General features: G+C 64.9%; 2 protein-coding genes, 1 long non-coding RNA gene and 1 other non-coding gene across 8 annotated transcripts, besides 3 other annotated features; all 4 read right to left on the bottom strand.

Annotated features, from left to right (window-relative positions):
- Positions 1-1,462: 1,462 nt before the first annotated feature.
- Positions 1,463-4,228, bottom strand: LCNL1 (lipocalin like 1). The gene is made up of 3 exons (NM_207510.4): positions 3,513-4,228; positions 2,658-2,731; positions 1,463-2,508 (listed from the first exon to the last, which is right to left on the bottom strand). Exons 1-3 carry the CDS (start codon positions 3,632-3,634, stop codon positions 2,210-2,212), a joined length of 495 nt encoding a protein of 164 aa, NP_997393.3. The 5' UTR covers positions 3,635-4,228; the 3' UTR covers positions 1,463-2,209.
- Positions 1,777-2,332: an enhancer, noted in NCBI's record as "H3K27ac-H3K4me1 hESC enhancer chr9:139879341-139879896 (GRCh37/hg19 assembly coordinates)". NCBI's record gives its function as "activates a minimal SCP1, AML or CMV promoter by ChIP-STARR-seq in primed H9 embryonic stem cells {active_cell/tissue: H9 hESC(primed)}" and the evidence as "EXISTENCE:reporter gene assay evidence [ECO:0000049][PMID:30033119]".
- Positions 2,333-2,890: an enhancer, noted in NCBI's record as "H3K27ac-H3K4me1 hESC enhancer chr9:139878783-139879340 (GRCh37/hg19 assembly coordinates)". NCBI's record gives its function as "activates a minimal SCP1, AML or CMV promoter by ChIP-STARR-seq in primed H9 embryonic stem cells {active_cell/tissue: H9 hESC(primed)}" and the evidence as "EXISTENCE:reporter gene assay evidence [ECO:0000049][PMID:30033119]".
- A 1,250-nt stretch (positions 4,229-5,478) lies between the features above and the next one.
- Positions 5,479-9,717, bottom strand: PTGDS (prostaglandin D2 synthase). The gene is made up of 7 exons (NM_000954.6): positions 9,529-9,717; positions 8,089-8,228; positions 7,922-7,998; positions 7,159-7,275; positions 6,937-7,038; positions 6,366-6,388; positions 5,479-5,642 (listed from the first exon to the last, which is right to left on the bottom strand). The coding sequence occupies exons 1-6, from the start codon at positions 9,640-9,642 to the stop codon at positions 6,366-6,368; spliced, it is 573 nt and encodes a 190-aa protein (NP_000945.3). The 5' UTR covers positions 9,643-9,717; the 3' UTR covers positions 5,479-5,642.
- Positions 7,678-8,657: an enhancer, noted in NCBI's record as "H3K27ac-H3K4me1 hESC enhancer chr9:139873016-139873995 (GRCh37/hg19 assembly coordinates)". NCBI's record gives its function as "activates a minimal SCP1, AML or CMV promoter by ChIP-STARR-seq in primed H9 embryonic stem cells {active_cell/tissue: H9 hESC(primed)}" and the evidence as "EXISTENCE:reporter gene assay evidence [ECO:0000049][PMID:30033119]".
- A 710-nt stretch (positions 9,718-10,427) lies between the features above and the next one.
- LOC124902312 (uncharacterized) lies at positions 10,428-12,143 on the bottom strand. 5 transcript variants are annotated; one of them, XR_007061870.1, is made up of 4 exons: positions 11,967-12,143; positions 11,745-11,826; positions 11,307-11,548; positions 10,429-10,672 (listed from the first exon to the last, which is right to left on the bottom strand). It is a non-coding gene; the product is annotated as an uncharacterized LOC124902312 (transcript). The 5 variants fall into 5 exon arrangements; XR_007061871.1 differs by having other exon boundaries at positions 11,310-11,548; XR_007061869.1 differs by lacking the exon at positions 11,307-11,548 and having other exon boundaries at positions 10,428-10,672.
- A 2,193-nt stretch (positions 12,144-14,336) lies between these two features.
- On the bottom strand, positions 14,337-17,809 carry LINC02692 (long intergenic non-protein coding RNA 2692). The gene is made up of 5 exons (NR_157392.1): positions 17,748-17,809; positions 17,162-17,335; positions 16,178-16,257; positions 15,645-15,723; positions 14,337-14,544 (listed from the first exon to the last, which is right to left on the bottom strand). It is a non-coding gene; the product is annotated as a long intergenic non-protein coding RNA 2692 (long non-coding RNA).

The following is an 18,161-nucleotide window of genomic DNA, read 5'->3' as shown; positions in this document are numbered from 1 at the left end:
GGGCATCCCTGAGGCTGTGGAGGGCAACCTGCATTTCCCGGCTCGGAATCTTCCTGGGAATGCAGGGGGGATGCAGAGCCACTGTGCTCCGCCGAGTGGTGTTTTTTTGTTTTGTTTTGTTTTTTTTCTGAGGCAGAGTCTCGCTCTGTGGCCCAGGCTGGAGTGCAGTGGCACAATCTTGGCTCACTGCAAGCTCCGTCTCCCAGGTTCACGCCATTCTCCTGCCTCAGCCTCCCGAGTAGCTGGGACTACAGGCGCCCGCCACCACACCCGGCTGATTTTTTGTATTTTTAGTAGAGACGGGGTTTCACCGTGTCAGCCAGGATGGTCTCGATATCCTGACCTCATGATCCGCCCGCCTCAGCTTCCCAAAGTGCTGGGCCCGGCCCGAGTGGTGTTTTTTAATAACAAATTTTCTGGGCTGGGCCCAGTGGCTCACGCCCGTAATCCCAGCACTTTGGGAGGCCAAGGTGGGTGGATCGCTTGAGGTCAGGAGTTTGAGACCAGCCTGGCCAACATGGCAAAACCTGTCTCTACTAAAAATACAAAAATTAGCAGGGCGTGGTGGCGATCACCTGTAATCCCAGCTACTTGGGAGGCTGAGGCAGAAGAATCACTTGAACCTGGCAGGTGGAGCTTGCAGTGAGCCGAGATCGCACCACTGCACTCCAGCTTGGGCGACAGAGCGAGACTCCATCTCAAAAAAACAAACAAACAAAACTCTGACCAACTGAGAAGGAGAAATCAGAGCATACTGCACCCCGTAGACCCATCACCCAGATTAAACACTATCCAAATATTCACAGATTTGCAACCAGTATTTTTATTATTATTTTGCTGAACTAGGTACATTACAGCTAGTAGGCTATTTTCCTTCAAATTCTTCGAGACTTGTCTGTAAAAGACAACACTGTCCTACATAGACTCCAGGCAGGGCAGAGTTTTATGCGGCTCCTCCTGTCCTCCTCGCCCTCCACTCTCCGTGGACAGGCCCTGGGTCAGAGTTGGGAGCGCTTCGTTGGTCTCCGGAACAGCCAGGCCTCTGGGGCGGGTCCTGGAGCCAGGAGTCAGGGGCTGGGGAGCTGGGGGACCCGGAGGGGCGCCTGGGGATGGAAGCCGCCGACACTGACTGGGGCAGCCGCTTGGGAGGACCCGGAAGGCCACGTCGCGCGGCGGTGTCCGCTGAAGCCTGGGGCGCGCGCCGCGTGGTGTCCGTGTCCCGCCCTCCCGGCGCCCCCAGTCTGGGGGTCTGGGTCCGTGCGGAGGTAGAAAAGTCCCAGAGCTGGGGCTGGGGCCCGTCCTGAGGAACCTCCCTGCCACGGAGCCGAGGCTCGGTCCCTCCTGGGCTAACGCCTACCCAGAGGGGCAACAGGGGGTGACCCGGCCCCTCCCCCAGGGCGCCCATGTACCTGGCCGCCCCCCCGCCACCCCTCCCTGCCCCCAAGAAACGCACAGCGCCACAGGCATTCAGGGTGTTTATTGCGCTTGGGGCCAGGGTGTGGAGGGAGGGGGCTCTTTGGGCAGGGCTGGGCGCACGGAGCAGCTGACCCCTGCGGGCACTCAGGGGCTGGACCCCTCACTGCAAAACAAGGAGCAGGTGGGCGGCGTCCCCTGCCTCCGCCCCCTCCCGACGCGCAGCCCCGCGGTTCCCCAGGCTGCTGCGGCTCGGATCCGCCCGGGTGCCCCATCACCCCCGCTGTCGTCCCTAGCTGCCCCGAAGGTAGAGGGCCCCGCGGTGCAGCCCACCGAGCTGGGAGGGCCCATGGTCCGCGGCTCCGCATGGCCATGGTCTACTCACCCGGGAGAGCGCGCCCGCACACTGGTCTGCAGAGAGATCGAGCCTGAGGCGCCACCCCGCGCCCCCTTCCCTGGGACGGAGGCCCCCGACCTGCCCCAAGGCGATCTCCTCCTGGGAACACCGGCCTGGGCAACGTCTCGCCCTCCCCCGACCCAGACAGGCTGGGTCTGCCCCGGGCACTTCTGTCCCGAATCTGAGATCAGTGGAGTGACCAGGGCCTGGCCCTTCCAGCAGGGGTGTGACCCGGGGCCTGGCCCTCCCAGCAGGGCTGCCGGCACCGCTCACCCGACTTCGGCAGCAGGACGCCCTGGCTGGGGCTCAGGCCCACTTGGGGCGCCAGTAGCTGCATCTTCTGGGCGCCTTCGGGAAACAGCTCGGGCGCTCGAGCTGAAGGTGGGGAGGGCGGGTAAGCTAAAGGGAAGGGGCTGGAGGGGCGAAGAGAGGGAGAGAGGGGCAGGGAGGGGCCGGGACCCGCGGCCACAGACACCAGGAGCCAGCGGTTCCACCTTCCGCGTGCAGAAAGGGCTGGTGCAGGCACAGGGGTGACATCCCAGACCCGAAGCGGGGGTGTCTGGGTCTCCGCCCCGCAGCCCGCCCACCGTAGAGCTGCAGCCACTGGTTCCGCAGGCCCCCTTTCCGCATCTCCAAGTACAGCAAGGCAAAGTGCTGGTAGTCGGAGAAGGCCACTCGGATGTCACTCAGGGCCATGGCTGGAGGAGCGAGAGCCGCTGACCCCAGGCCCAGGGCACCTCCCCCCCGAGCGTGGCACCCCTCACGCCCCGGCCCCAGGTGCCAATCCAGCAGTCCATGCAGCCTCCAGGGCCCCCACGCCACAGCCCTGCCTGCTGCCCCACCTCACCTGGGTTGCTGAACTGCCCCGGTACAGCACCCTCGGTGAAGGTCGTGTCCATTTTCTGGCACCCGCCATGGGGCCTGGGGAGAAAGAGCCCCAATCCCCTGAGTGGCCACCCCTGCCCAGCGCCCAGGCCTAGAGCCTACCTTGCTGTCTCTGAGCCCAGGGTCCCCTGTTCACCCTCACAATCCTTAGAGGACATGGGACTTTAGGATGACCTTAGAGGTGGGGACACTCCTGCTGGGGGTGGGGTGGGTATTAAGTACCTGTTCACAGGCACACAGCCTAGAATGCAGGGCCTCCAGGTCCCCCTTCCAGACACAGACACACAGAAGACACACACATACACACATGCACACACACGGAGATAGACACAGACACAGACACACTGACAGACACACACATAGACACGCACACAAGACACACACAGAGATAGACACACACAGCCAGACACAGATACACAGACACACAGACACACAGACGCATACAGTGATACACACATACACACTCAGAGGTACACATCTACAAAGACACACATGCATACACACGCACACACAGACACACACACATGCAGAAATAGACACACATACACAGAGACACAGCCACATACAGTGATACACACACAGACACAGACATGCAGACACTTTTCTCAACACCAGGCCTCAGGCAGTGCTTCCTCCAGGGCCTGGGTCCCTCTGGACTCCGTGTGGCTGCCATCTGGGGCTCTGCCGCACAGAGCCGTCGAGGACCCGTGGTCTGACCTCAATGTGCTGGGGACACCATGGTCCCTCTGGACCTTCATGTGGCCTCATGCTGGCCATCCTCTGAGGCTGAGTCTGATGGGCTCGTGTGGTCACTTACGTGGGGTATCCAAACTTGAGGGCCAGGTCACCATTCCCCAAGGGGGTCACTAAGACCACAGCCATCTTCATGGTGTCCTTGGAGTCCAGGAAGTCCTGGTCATCTGACACCACCCCGACCATGTACCAGGTGCCCTGGAACTGCAGGGCAAGTGCAGGGAAGGCTGGGAGGCCGCCCCTGTGCCCTGGGCCTGAGCCCACCACATTCTGCCCCGACACAGCTGCTTCCTGGCCACGGCAGGGGCTGCTGTACACATCTCGACCCCGATGCAGAACTGAGGGAGGGGGGCCTCAGTACATGAGCAACTGGCCCCCACCAGCCCAGCACCGGCCTGTCTGCAGCTGGCACCCAGGGGGTACGGCTGGATGGGTGGGGCTGTGGCAAGGTCACAGGTCTTTGTGGGGTGGGTGGGGGACAGTGAGGCACAGGCAACCAACTTGTCCCTATTTTGGGCCCTGGGGATTGTTGGGGGATGCAACTGAAAAGGTAGGATGGAGGCTGCAGTCTTCCCCAGCCAACCCCTACTCCAGTCAGACGGAGCGGGTGAGGTGGGGGTTTCCCCTGCCCCTAGCCCTGCTGAGCCTGGATCAAAGAGGGTGTGGACAGGGACCCGGGGTGCAGCACCAAAGCCGGGAGGACTCATTGGAGATGAGGAGGAAACAGGGCTGGGCACACCTGGCTGGCATCAAAGTTGGCCTGGATGGGGACCTGGGCCTGGCCTGGGGATGCCCAGAGCAGGGCAAGGAGGGAACTGATCAGCAGAGCCCGAAGCATCATGCAGCAAGATGGCATCTCCTCCGGACACGGGAGCAGGGCAGAGCTGAGGTGGCTCCTCTGTAGGCTTTACGCCCCTGAGGTGCCCTGGGGCGGCTGGCCTGGGACTGCACCCACTGTGACAGGCTTCTGATCAAGTTGCACCCTGCAGCGCTCTGGCCTGGCTCCCTCCACCCAACCCCAGCCATCCGTTGCCTTTCCTCCGGGGTGGGGCCGGATGCCTGGCAGCTGAGGGTAGTTCTGACGGGCCTCTGGGCTAGGGGGCCTGCAGCTCACCCATCCTGCCTCTTCGGCCTTCTGCAGCCCCTCTGGGATGTTGGAATCCCCCCTACCTTGAGCTCAGGCACAGCCCTAAGCCCCCTTCTCCGGGAAGGCCACCCAGAAGCTCACCCTCACCTCCGAGCCTCAAAATGCTTGGTGCCTCTGCAGGGTCTGCCTCGGGGGGGCCTGGTGGGCAGGTCACAGTGAGTCCTGCACATTGTGTACCTGAGAATGGCTGCCTGGGTGGGAATCTGGAAGGGAGCAGGGTTGGGCAGGGCACTGGCCGGGCATGGTGTGGCCGTGGTGCCAGGGCTCTGGTGAGTGGACAAGGCTGTGATCTGGAGGCCCAGGTCAGAGGGCAGGGGGCGCACAGGGAGCCAGAAGGGATATGGGGTAGCCTGTCCCCAGCCCACTCTGTCAGTCTGTCCTGATGCGGGGTGGAGACACTCTGGCATGTTTCAAACAAATGTTTCTTTTTGTCCCCTGAAACCCTTATCTCTGCCCAATCTCAGTGCGTTAATCCCACACCTCAAGATACCCAACAGGTCCAAAGCTCCTCTGGGGCCTCGAGCCTCAGGCCTTTACTGCTGAGGGGGTGACAGGGTGGCGTTGGGGGTGCAGGGCACCTGCCTAAGGGATTAGCTGAGTCACTGACCCCCAGCTCAGCACCGGCCTGGTGGCAGTGGCAGCTGAGGGGGTATGGCTCGACGTGTGGGGCTGTGGGGCAGGGGCACACGACTGTGTGGGGTGGGTGGGAGACAGTGAGGGACACCCCCTCCTAGCTGTCCTGACTCAAGACCCCACTGGGAGCAAACACTAGAGGGCCTGTTCCTTTGTTGACGTCAGGCTGAGATTTTAGAGGGGGAGGTCCGGGTGGCCAGGGCCAGGCCCAGGACGGGTGATGACAGCGCAGACAGCCAGGAGCCAGCTCTACTGACTTGCTTCCGGAGTTTATTGTGCAGGATGAAGCCTGAGTGGGCAGGGTTGCTTTGGCGGGGAGCCGGGGCAGGGGCTCGGGGAAGGAACAGAGCAGAGACATCCAGAGCGTGGGGGTCACCTGGCTGGCCGGGATCCCAGCTTCAGCCCTGGGGAGTCCTGAGGGGTGTGACCGAAAGGCTAGGATGGAGGACTGCAGTCTACCCCAGCCCACCTCCACTCCAGTCGATGGAGCAGGTGCGGGCTACGGGGACTTTTCTCTGCCCCCAGCCCCACTGAGCCCCGCTGAGAGAGCAAGATCCATCCCTGGGGCTTGGATCCCCGCTGCCCCAGGGTCTACAGACTCCACCCTTCCCAGCCCCAGGGTCCACAGACTCCAGCTCCAGCCTAGGCCTCCCTCCTGGGGGTGGTGGGTGAATCCGCCCTGAGCCTGCTCTCCGAGCTGTCCCACGGCATCCATGTAGCGTCCTTGGCCCTCCCCTTCCATCCCCTGTTCCCTCCCATCCTGTCTCCCCCACCCTGGTTTCCTCCTAGCCCAGGAGCCAGACACCCTTGCTGCCAGGTGGTCCCTGTGGTATAGCCCCTTGGCCTTGTCTGCCTGGGGCCTCGCACCTGCACCCCCCAACCATGAGCCTTCAGGAGTCAGCCCTGTTCCAGCCACTGGGACAGGTTTTCCTTCTGAGCCTCACACCTGTGCACCCATCAATGTGGGCAGCCCCAGTGTCTCCCGCCCGGCCCTGGACTGCAGCCATCGGGAAGGATGGGTCTGCAGCACCAGGCTGTCCTGGGGCCCTGATCCATCCCATCGCAGAGTGGGTTGGGTGGATGTGTGTTGAATGAATGAATGAATGAATGAATGAATGAATGAATGGAGTGGCTCACCTATTGTTCCGTCATGCACTTATCTGCCAAGAAAGAAGCCAGGGGCTGTCGTCAGAACCCCAGACTTAGGCCAATTTTCCCACTGGGCTTCCTGTTCCTCCCGTAACGCAGAGCTCGTCTTGACTGAGCCCCCAAACTGCACAGATCCCCCATCACCTCCCACCTCTCCCTGGGCACTGGAAACAAAGAGAGGGTCTTTCTCCACCTCTGCCAAGAGCAGGCTGTCCACCCCTAGGAGGCTGTGCCTGAGCCCAGTATGGTTGGTTCCCCTGTATCCCCCATGGGCACCCTCTACCCTATGCCCCCCACCAGGCTGAAGCCCCACATCCTGGGAGCTGCTGGGGCCTGGCACAGAGTGGGCGCCTGGTCTCCATGTCCCCCATGGAGGGGGCTCCTCATGAAGGGGCTGCGGGAGGGAGGTTCTGACTTGAACACTCACCCCCTCTGTCCCTGGCCCAGGCCTCGAGCAGGGCGGGGCCACCTCCTCCCCTCTGCCTCCCCCAGTCAGGAGACTGCCTGCCTGCCTCTAATCTGACCTTGATCCTCTCCCCATCAGATTAGGACCCCTCACCGGTTTGGGGCAGGAAGACAATGGTATCCTCTGTGAAGCCCTGGGCCTTGCAGAAGGCGGTGAATTTCTCCTTTAACTCAGCCCTGGGGGTCTGGGTTCGGCCTGGGACAGGGTGGAGACGGAGCTGGCCTCAGCGGGGGGGATGCTGTGTGCCCTGCCCTGGGTCTTGGGGAGCCCCCTCTGGTCAGGCCTGCGTGTGGGCGGCGTCCACGGGGCACGTACTGTAGAGGGTGGCCATGCGGAAGTCCTCGCCAGGGCCCTTGCTGCCCTGGCTGTACAGCAGCGCGTACTGGTCGTAGTCGGTCTCCACCACTGACACGGAGTAGGTGCTGCCCCAGTCTGGGAACCCAAGAGACAACCCTGTCGGGGACTCAGCCCCCCAAACCTCACCTCTGCTTCAGGGAAGGGGTGCACCTGTGGGCTTTGGGGGCACTCAGCCCCTCGGCTGGCCCGGGATGCTCCCCCACCCGGCTGCTCTCCAGCCAGTGCCCTGCTCTCGCCTGCACAGCCTGTGAACCCTGTCCCCAAACCAGAATCTGGGGGAGCCAGGCTCAGAAAACCAGGATTCCTGGTGCAGCCGCAGAAGTCGCTGCCAGAACCGGAAGTGAAGAGGTTTCCCCGTGGGAGCCATTCCCCAGGTGGGAGTGAGGAAACCCCTGGGTCCTGGGGAGGAGAATTGGGAGGAGGCATATGGAGGGGCCTTGGGGGGCTGCTTATGTGGGGAAAACTCCAGAGGGCAGGGAAGGGGCCTGACAAGACAATGGTGGGCTCCAGAGAGGATCCAACCCCCTGGAGGAAGGGTCTCTCTGTCCCTAACACTTGTGCATGGGTAGTCACGCCCAGGCCTGGCCTTTGCCTCTGACGCTGGTGGGGCAGCCATCACCTCCCACCCCATGGATCTCCGCGGCAGGGGGCTGGCCCAGAGTCGTCCCGGCAAGTGTCGCCCCCAGGCTGGGCCCAGGGGGCCGGTGGAGGCCCCACTCACGGGGACTCCGGTAGCTGTAGGAGCCGAGGGACCCCGCGGGCTGCAGCAGCATGGTTCGGGTCTCACACTGGTTTTTCCTGTAGGTGGGTGACCTCAGGGTCAGGGGTTAGGCCCGAGGGTGTCCCTGGACCTCTCCGTCCCAGAAACCCACCTGCCCGCTGTCCCACCTGAGGAAGGTGGAGGTCAGGTTGAGGCCACCATCCGTGGCAGGGGCCACCACAGACTTGCACATGGACAACGCCGCCTTCTTCTCCCGGAGCCAGCTCGAGTTGGAGGCGAGGCCCGCGCTGAACCAGCGCCCCAGGAACTGCGGCGAGCGACCCCCACCCGCGTCGGCCAGGACCCTCCGGACCCACCTGCGCCTACCTGCGGGGGCGCCTCTGCCGTCTACTCCTCCGGTCTCCAACCCGGCCCCGCCCCCACGCCCAATCCCCCGAGCAGCCACGCCCCTCACGCCCCGCCCCAGGAACTGACCCCCGCCCCTCAATCCCCGCCCCAGGAGATGACCCCGCCCCTCACATCTCCGCCCCAGGAGCTGACCACGCCCCTCACATCCCCGCCCCAGGAGATGACCCCGCCCCTCACATCCCCGCCCCAGGAGCTGACCACGCCCCTCACGACCCCGCCCCAAGAGCTGGCCCCGCCCTTCATGTCCACAACCAGGGAACTGACCGCGCCCCTCACGCCCCATGCCCCCCTAGGAGCTGACCCCGCCCCTCACGTCCCCGCCCCAGGAGCTGACCACGCCCATCAGGCCCCCGCCCCGCCCCGGGAGGTGGCCCCGCCCCTCACGCCCCGCCCCAGGAGATGACCACGCCCCACTTCCCCCTCCCCCGGAGATGGCCCCGCCCCTCACGCCTCAGCCCCAGAAGCTGGCCACGCCCCTGACACCCAGCACCCCCGTCTGGCCACGCCCCTCCCGAGGACAGTCCCTCACCCTCGCACGCCGCCCACCAGCCAGCTTCGGCCCCTCCGCCCCCGGTCCCGATTCTGTGCCCTGGCTGAGCGCCTGGCCCATACAGCGGGCGGCAGAGGACGTCGCATTCCTGGCGGGGATCGGGGCGGGTCTTCGGCTCAGCTCTGCGGACCGCTGGGGTTCTCCTCGACGCCAGGGAGGGGCGCGCGGCGCGGGGACCCGCGCTCCGGCGCTTCCCCGAGCAGCTCCCGGGCGAGAGCGCGCGTCGCCGGCTGTCTGTGCGGTGCGCGTCCCTCCCAACCCCCACCGCGCACGGAGTGTTTGTCGCCATCCCTGTGCCCCACCCGCCCGTGTCCTGGCACCCAGGTGTGGAACGTGCGCTCGTGTGTCCTCTGGGGGTCGCGTGCCCACAGGGGTGGACGTGTCTGGCTGGCGTGGGCGCGTGTGTGGCCCGGTGTCTGCGTGGCCCATCAGGGGAGACGGGACGCGGTGCCCAGGGAGGGCTTCTCGCGGGCAGCCTCCTCGGGCGGCTACCCAGCCTCCTTCCTGCGCGCCCGCTCAGTCCCTGGCCGGCACTGCCCGGCACTGCGGGACTTCGCTCACTCCTCCCAGGGGGAAGACCCAGCCGGAAAGTGCCCTTCCCCTGACAGGGTCCTGTAGCCCTTGGGGATGACGCAGGAAAGCCCCTCACCTTGTCCTGCTGGAAGTTGGGCTGCACGGAGACCTGGGCCTCCGGTGCTGCCTGCAGGTCGCCCAGCACCCCCAGCAGGGCCAGTCCCATCCACAGTGTGTGATGAGTAGCCATTCTCCTGCAGCAGAGCGGGTGTCCGGGGCCTGGTGCCAGTGGTGTGGGAGAGCGAGGGAGGTGTGCAGGAGGAGCGGAGGGCACTGAGGAGACCCCTATTTATGGGCCAGGCTTGGCCTCCACCCAGGGCCCGGGGACAGCCCACTGAACACTCGTGATGCTGGGGGATGGGGTGGCCAGGCACAGCTGCAGCCTCGTCCCCCACAGGGCGCTTATGCAAGAGGCCTGGGCCTGCTGCCCCAGCTGAGGCAGCGTGGGGGTGAGGCAGAGGCCCCTGCCCACTGGTCCCAGAGACAGAGCTGGCAGGGACCTTGCCCACCCTCCTCCTGCTGGCAGGGCCCACCAACCCAGCGGCCCTGATAGGGCAGGGGCTGTGTTCCTCAGCCATGCCCGCCTCCGAGGCCTCTGGTGACTTCCCACTGGGGGCCAGGACCCACATCTCACAGCCCCTACCATCATTCCCTTTCCGAGCCCTGCCACCCCAGAAGGGGACACAAGCCCCACTTCCACCCTGAGAGTTTGGTCCTGAAACGCCCAGCAAGTGAAGTGTTGATGAGAAGCTCAGGCCAAGGTAGAGAAACTTGATCTGGCCCGCAGGGTCCCGAGGGCCAGGTTTGCTGGGCATGGCTTCCCCCATGGCCAGCTGTTGGGGCTCTGATAGTGACCCCTGGGTGCCCATTTCAGCCTGGGGCACCTTTGGGCTTGAGCACAGGCCCTATCCCTTGCCAGAGGCCCCAACTTCCCCCAGCAATCCCCCCACCCCAAGTCTGCCCCCCGCCGAGTCTGGGCCTCCCCACCCCGAGTCTGGTCCAGACTCGGGAGCACCCCGTGGGGCTGTCCTGTTACCCCAGCGCTGCACCCAGCTCCTTGGGCCCCTCCAGCTCGTTGGCCCTGGCTGGGGCCCTGTCACAGGCCGTCACAGGCAGGCACATGTGGTGGGCCCTCTCTGGATTCTGTTGGGACTGAGCTTCCCTGGCAGGCGTGGTGGGTGAGCGCTGCCGCTGGTCTGAAGGTGAGCCCGGGTGGGGAGCTGGGAAATGTACATGAGAGCAGGAGTGAGTCGGATGGGGTGGGGTGGTGAGCTTCTACGGGGCTGCTGGCGACCACTGGGGGCCGGAGCCCGTCTTCTTCCTGGATTCTGTGGCCCATCCCTTGCTGGGGGCGCACGAGCCCTGGGAGTGGGCTGGTGTGGACTGCTTCCTTGTTCCCCTTCCCCAGTGCCCGGGGGTCAAGGAGCCCAGACTGGGGGAGGCGCATGCCTATGTAGCAGCAGGGGCTAGTGGGCAGCACTGGTGTCAGGGCTGGTGGGGGTGGCCGGGTAGCATCCCAGGCAGAGGCCAAGGTGAGGGAGTGAGTCCCAGGGAGCCGGGAGGCACCTGAGAGGCAGGGAGAAGGAGGGCAGCGGTGCAGGGGGGCCAAGGCAGTCCTGAGAACCCACTCCTCCACCTGGACCTCCTATCAACCCCTGCCTGAAGCAGCAGCGTGCTGCTAGCTCAGATGCCATCTGTGCCATGGGCTGAGAGGGAGAGTCTGTTGGAACAGATAGGGGTGGGGTGCCTAAACCCGGGACCCCGCGTGGCCCGCAAGCCTGGCTCAGCTACAGAGCTGGGGGCTGCCGTCAGGACAGGGGAGGGGCAGGAAGAGAGTTGCGGCTGGGATATCACCACAAGACTGGCCTCCTGCCCGCTGCCAGCTGAGTCCTGGCTGTCATTCCACTCTGGTGGGGCTGGTGGCTCGCTGACTGGCCTGGCTGGAGGTCCCAACCCAGGCTAGGCTGGTCCAGGACAAGAGCGCCTCCCGGTGGTGAGCAAGCTCTGGGGTGTGGTGGCGGGTGGCCCGGGGCAGGGAGACCCAGGACACGTGGCTCTGGGTCTGAATGGCTTCCGTCTGGGCAGGCCTGGGTCACCTGCCAGGGAGGGACTCTGAAGTCTGATGGGGCCGGGTCCTCCCATAGCCAGAGGGGTTCCCAGGGATCTCGGGTGTCCAGCCCTCAAACCCAGTGCCTGGAACAGGGACCAAGCCCCTCCTCTTCCCCATTTTCTAGTGGGCTGCAGAAAGCCCAGCAGGTCCCATGTCCCTTCTCCTCCCTGACCAGTCGTTACCGAGACCATATGGTCGTTGGCGCCTGGAGAGCTGGAAGAGCTAACAGGATCATGCTTCGGTTCAGGACGGACTCCTCAGTCCCTGTGGTCAAGATGGCCAGCAGGTGGTCAGAGACACTCCCCAGACACGGCTGAGTGAGGACCAGTGAGTGGGAGCTGCCCACGAGCCCTGATTCATGGGTGCACCTGGGCCCACCCGAGGGCTGGAGATTCATCTCTCACCACATCCAGGAAGGGCTGGGCAGTTGCCAGCTCCTGGCACGCCAGATTTCTCCCCTCCTCCCCCGGCTAGGACTGTGCAAGGTGGACAGGGGCAGGAGGGACCTTCGCAGAGCCTCTTGCAGCTTGGGCAGGGACAAGGACCACCCTGCACACTCTCTGTGCCCTTCCCTTTGCTCTGAGCTTGGCTGCCAGGCAGGACCTTAGTGGAGCCTGGCGGAGGGCTGGGCAGGAAGAAGGCTGGCCGCCCCACCCTGCTCTCTGGGAACCAGTCTCTTTGAGTCACAAAATGCAAAGACTTGGCCTCCACCCTAAGAGGTCACCAAGGCCATCCCCCTGCCTGCGGCCCAGGCAGGTCATGGACAAGCCTGGTGGCCTGGGCCTAAGCTCCCAGAACTGACCCCAACCTTTTCCTGGAGGGAAGCTGTCTCCACCCTGGGGCCCCGGCCAGCATCCTCCGGGGGCAGTGATGACCCTGTCCAGCATCCCCACCAATGGTTTGCCCTTGAGGGCCGAGGCTGTCCCAGTGACTGGTGGGAGCTGAGCTCGACTGAGTGTCCACCAGCCTCAAATAAACTCATGGGGACCTCGTGAGCCCCACCCACCTGCAGCCTGGGATCAACTCCCCCAGCCTGGGACTGGGGAGGGGCAGCCTCTACACCCCACCTTTCAGAGGTACCCAAGCCTCACGGCCCCAGAGGCTCACTCCTGCCAGAGCTGCCCCGCTGAGGATCTTCCATAGGGAAGGGCAGTGCCCGGGATCACTGAGACGCTGTGGAGTGTTCTGGACAAGTCAGGGGCAGAGCAGGAGCACCCCTGAGATTGTAGCCGGGGAGACCAGGGCCGGGTGCGGTGGGGGCAGCTCAGGGCTCCTCTAGGGGCAAGAAATTCTCCCCAAGGCCTCCCTGCGTCAAGGGAGCTGCTCTGTGATTGAAGGAGGCCTGAGTGGACGGGCCACGTGGGACAGCCCCTCCTCAGGGCATCTCTGAGCTGCTCAAAGCACATGGGACCCACTCTTCACCCAGCCCTCCTCTCTGTGCCTGTCTGTTTGGGTGTTCACTGACATGGGGGACGGCCACCTCTCCGCTCACCCTTTCTGGCTGCCTCTGGCCACCTCTCCCAGCACCACCCTGGAGGTCAGGCCCGCCCAGCAGCCGGGGACGGCGCAGAGGACAGGGCAGCCCGGGACAAGCCAGAGGATAGGGGAGCAGATATGTCCCTGGGACTTGAGGCTCATATGTGCATTGCTGGCCATGGGGTCCAAAGACGGTTATGGCCAAGCCTCAGCCAATTCTGCAGCTTTGGAGCCAGGGCTAGGCTGGCTGTCTGTGGGGGACAGATGGCAATTTGGGGGTGCTGAACGATCTGTCCAATGTGGGGTCCAGCAGGCTGGTCAGAGGCTGCCGCATCCCAAAGGTAGCAGGGCCGGGAGGAGGGGGCGGCCCAACCCCCAACACCACACCCGCACCCACACCCGACACCACACCCACACCCCTGGCCTCGAGAAGCTCAGCTCCAGGATCCCGGTGCAGTGGACCTCTGAGGCCCAGTCTGGCTTCAGGAAGCGCCCAGCTCGGCCATGGAAGGTCAGGGCTAAAGTGTCCCCACCTCACCCATTTAGGGGCTGGGCGGGAGCTCCCCAGGAGGGCAGGGTCTGGGCAGGGGCCAAGCCTGGGAGGGCCTCGCCTAAGGACCCCTGGGTCACTGTAGCACCAGGCTGGGCACCGCTCCCCACAGAGACCAGAAGCCGGAAGTACCATTCAGCGCAGGGGCTGGCTCCGGCAGGGCACAGGTGGAGACCCGATCCCAGAGGCTGCTCCCCACCTCTGTGCCCACCCCCGGTCAGGGCTGGGCCTGGATCTTCAGGGACTCCTGCCTCCCATCGGGGGAACGTGGGGTGGCACACAGGGAGCCTGGGCCCACGCCCCTGAGATGGGGGCTCCTGCCTCTCACTCTGGGGTTCCTTTGAGGCAACCCAGGGGGATGGGGCCACAGATCTGAGAAGAGCCAGCGGTGAGGAAAGGGCGCTCCTAGCAGGGGCAAGGGCTGCCAGGTGCTGTGGAGCTGGGCAGGGACCCTTGGTCACAGGCCTCCGCAGCCTCTGTCACCCCACGGTCCCAGCCCTCCAGCCTAGGGCAGTTTCTGCTGGGCGCCATGGAGGGTGGCCTATGTTTGAGGATGAATCTGGCTCTGTTCACCAGAGAGCGTGGGACGGGCCAGGAGAGCACCCAGCTGGGAGGGAGGCAGCCACTGGGGGTTAGATGAGGACAAATGTCCGAGCTCAGCTCCTCCTGGGCCTGGAACCTGGGCTGCTCCCCGAGGCCCTGCCCACCCATCACCCAGTGCTCAAGGACAGTCGGATCCGGCTTCTCCTGGCACAGACTGTTTATTTCTGATGGGGTCGTGGGGGCAGGTGTGGCTGAGCCTCCCACGTGGAGGGGGCACCAGCGAGGCTGGGATGGGCGGTGAGGGTGGGGCTGCCAAGGGCCGGGCCAGGCTCCAGCGTCCTCAGGACAGAGGGTGGCCGGCCCAGGCAGAGAATCACGGAGGGGCTAGAGTGAGAGGAGGGAGAAGCAGAGACCTGCAGGAGAGAGAGGGGTGGAGGGGGTGCCAGGGCCAGGAGGAAGGAGGGCCTCGTGGATCCCAGAGTGGCCCGGGACCCCCAGGACCCCTGGCAGTCACACTCGTGGCTCACCACGGGCTCTTCTGTGAGGCAGGAGTGCTGGTCAGAGGCCCAAGGGTCCAAGGCCAGGGTCGCACGACCTCTGACCCGGGGGCTCCTGCCTGCCCCCAGGGCTGCCTTGGGAGCTGCAGGTGGCCCAGTACAGGGGACCCAGGAGCTTGGGCAGAGACCCTCAGAGGCCCTGGGTTGGGTGGGGGGGACACTCCAGGCCGCAGGTGTGTCCAGGTTTGGGCCCCGCAGTGTCCCCCACACCTGGAGCAGTTGGTAGCGAGGCTCCGGCAGGGCCCCAGCTCACTCTCAGCTCTCAGAGCCTCAGCTGCTGTGGCCTCAGCTCATGGCCTCCCTCTTCCCACGGGGCCCCTGCGTCTGGGGGGCCTGGCCTCTTCCAGCTCAGAACCCTCTTGCCTCAAGCTTGGCCTTCCCGGCCAAGGCCCTTGGGTCAGAAATGGGGGCTGACAAGGGCTTCCCTGCAGCCCCTCCTCCGGCACTGCCGTCCCCTCCGCCTGCCGTGTACGTGGGGTGCCTCCAGTGACCCCGGGTCCTGCCAGGACCCTCTGGCACCTGGCCTTGACCTCCGGACCCCTATGGTCTCCTGGGCAGTCCTCCCCGCTGGGCTGCACGGACAGGATTGGGGCTGGTGCCTCTCAGGTTGTGTCATTCAGGCACCAGACACCCTCTCCTCGGCGGACACTGCTGCCCGGCCCCAGGCTTTGGCCTGCAGGGCTCTGGGCCAACCTCCCCGCATCAGTGTGGTCTCTGCTTGCCTACCCCACACCCCCAAGGCCTGCCGGGGCCAGTCTGGGGCAGGAAGGGAATGTGGTCAAGGCTGATGCCCAGGATCTGGTCAAATCTGATAAATTTCTCCCTCAGGTCTAAATCCAGCTCCTTCCCCTGCCCTGTGCCAAGAAGGGGGGTGAGCCCTGGGGAGACCCCTCCCTCCCCAGCCCAGCCCTCAGGGGGTCCTGCATGGCCCCTTCCCGCCGTGCTCAGGGCCTCACCGAGCAGCTTGGCCTGGGTCCCTTCTCCTGGCGCTTGGTCTCGGCGTAGCCTCCATCTCGTCATTTTCCAACCCCACTTCTGCACGGAGCAGGCGGGTCAGGCAGGGCTCAGGACCCTACTGCTGGGGACAGGCTGCTGATCATGCCCCCTCTGGGGCCACACCAAGACCTTCCCTGGAGTGTCCATTTTAATTTATTTATGTTTTTCGAGTCAGGGTCTTGCTTTGTCGCCCAGGCTGGAGTGCAGTGGCACGGTCACAGCTCAATGCAGCCTCCTGGGCCCAAGCAATCCTCCCTCCTTAGCCTCCCAAGTAGCTGGGACTACAGGCATGCACCACCACACCCAGCTAATTTTTCAATTTTATTTTTGTAGAGATGGGCTCTCCCCATGTTGCCCAGCCTGGTCCCGAACTCTTGGCCCCAGTTGATCCTCCTGCCTCGGCCTCCCTAAATGCTGGGATTACAGATGTGGAGTGACCTTAACCTGGGGCAGTTCTGGGCCTTTCTTGGGGTGTCAGGCAGGGAAGACTCACCCTCCCGGCCTCCAAGGGGGTTCTGAGCTGGCTGCTTCTCCGGGACAGGGGTCCTGGCCCAGCGTTTGCAGGGTGGGTCCCTGTGGGAGGAGGTTGTGGTGGGGAGAGGCTGGGGTGAAGGCTTTGGGGAGGGGCAGGTCGGATGAGCTGGGGAGGGGAGGCTTCCTGGCCTCCCGGAGGGTCCTGCTCCCCACTCTTCCTGAGGCTGCTCTTCCTGGCAGCCTGCCTGTCCCCGCCTCTGACCACGTCCCCTCCCCGTGGAAGTTCTCACTGGATGCATGGAATTGGGATGTCCCAGCCACAGCCACCATGTCCCTGGGCCCTGCACCCTGCCCTGATCTTCCCCTGCCCCTGGGTCTCAGGACAGGCTCCTCCTCCAAACTGCAGGCCCCGGGGGAGAAGCAGGGGCCCCACAGCTGTGCTGAGGGTGTGGGTGAGCTCCCTCAAGGCAGGCGCTGCCTCCTTCCACCCACGGGGTCCACCCACCTGCCTGTCTGTATGAAGGGTCTCCACCCCACAGCCCTCCGTCTCCCCTCCCCGGGCAGTCCCATCACCCGGCAGGGGCTCTGGGCACCCAGCCTCAGGTGAGCAGGCTGGACATGACCACGGCTGCCACCAACATCCTGAATTGGGACCTGCGCTCCGGCCTGAAAGTGTTGACCGCCAGCCCCAGGACGCACCACTCCCCCAGAACTGCAGGGGCTGGCAGTGGGCAGGGCCAGGACCCCCTCCCCAGGCAGGGGTTCCAGGCTGGGCTGGCACCCGTGACTCTGGCAGGAGTCCGGATCTGACAGGGATGGGTGACCCTGGCCAGTGGGTGGGCAGCCTTCCTGAGCCTCACTTTCTCCACCTGCACAGAGGGCGTGAGCTCTTCCCACCTGGCAGGGTTCTCCAGGGCCATGAGGGCCATGCTCACTGTGGCAGTCAGGCCCATCGGCCCAGCTGCACCCTCCTTCCTCCTTCCCCATCCTGGAGGCCACTCACCCGCTCCTTTCTGAGGCCAGGCTGGAGACAGATCTTGTGGAAAGGCAAGTTCAGGCCCCTCTGGGGGCCCTGGCGCTGTGGCTGGACCGTCCCCAGCAGGGTGAGGCCCACCCACAGGAGTCCCAGGGCTCCACACAGGGCTGCAGGGGGCAGGACTCTGGGGCAGCAGCTGGCCTGGCAGGGGGTGAGGATGGGGGTGGGGAAGGGGGTGGGTGAGGGTCTGGGCTGGGACCCCCTAGTAACGAGGTCCCCTGCTGGCCCCCACCCCAGGACAAGCAACCTCTTTTTCTCCAAGTGCAGGAAGGGTGAGATTTTGCCCCTCTCCCTCCTCAGCAGCGGGGCTAAGGGGCGAGGCAGGGCAGAGGGAGGCTGGGCTGGGGAGGCAGGGGGCCCTCCTTGGACTCAGCCCAGCAAAGATTGAGGAGCGTGCCTTCCACTGGTGCCCACCATTCCCTGGTCTCAACCTTGGGAGGGGAAGCGGGGTGGAAATGTGGGCTGAGGGTGGGCACCCGCAGAGACCACCAGCTCCCAGGGAGGCCCCAGGCCTCAGCTCTGATTCCCAAAGCCCGGGTCCCTGCCCTCGTACCCCTACGTCCATCCTCGGAGCTGTCGCCCCGAAGGCTCCCGGCCAGCCCTGGGTCAGGGTGTGACGGCAGAAGACACCGTGCGAGAGTCCACTGTGTGCCCAGCATGGGTGGCCGCCTGGAGCCTCCCTGCCCTGTCCTGCCCTGAGGCGTCAGCAGGATCAGGCCAAGCTGTTCCCTGGCCCGGGGCAGGCTCCAGAGCGCTGGTGGTGGGTGGGACGGAGTGTGTCTGTGCTGAGGCTGCTGGCACCCACCCTGCTCTGCCCACGGGTCCAGTCTGGGCCAGGACCTCCCAGATGCAGCCCCACCCCTGTCCTCCAAGCCTCCTCTCTCCTGGGTGCAGCAGGTCTTGGCCCCACTCCCCCAGGGCCCTCAGCCCATCTGCCTCCCCTCGACAGCTGCTGTGCGGGGCTGCG

The sequence above is a fragment of the Homo sapiens genome, chromosome 9 (assembly GCF_000001405.40).
Source record: "Homo sapiens chromosome 9, GRCh38.p14 Primary Assembly".
Classification (NCBI taxonomy): Eukaryota; Metazoa; Chordata; class Mammalia; order Primates; family Hominidae; genus Homo; species Homo sapiens.
The sequence above is the reverse complement of the archived record's forward strand: the minus strand, read 5'-3'. Positions and strand labels throughout refer to the sequence as shown.

Excerpts from the sequence above, each read along its gene's own strand:
- LCNL1 (NM_207510.4), bottom strand. The coding sequence starts at position 3,634 with ATGGTCGGGGTGGTGTCAGATGACCAGGACTTCCTGGACTCCAAGGAC. Across the intron at positions 2,732-3,512 it reads CTCAAGTTTGGATACCCCAC|GCCCCATGGCGGGTGCCAGA; the intron begins GTAAGTGACCAC and ends CTTTCTCCCCAG. Across the intron at positions 2,509-2,657 it reads GGGGCAGTTCAGCAACCCAG|CCATGGCCCTGAGTGACATC; the intron begins GTGAGGTGGGGC and ends TCGCTCCTCCAG.
- PTGDS (NM_000954.6), bottom strand. The coding sequence starts at position 9,642 with ATGGCTACTCATCACACACTGTGGATGGGACTGGCCCTGCTGGGGGTG. Across the intron at positions 7,999-8,088 it reads CTGACCTCCACCTTCCTCAG|GAAAAACCAGTGTGAGACCC; the intron begins GTGGGACAGCGG and ends ACCCACCTACAG. Across the intron at positions 7,276-7,921 it reads CTACAGCTACCGGAGTCCCC|ACTGGGGCAGCACCTACTCC; the intron begins GTGAGTGGGGCC and ends TTGGGTTCCCAG.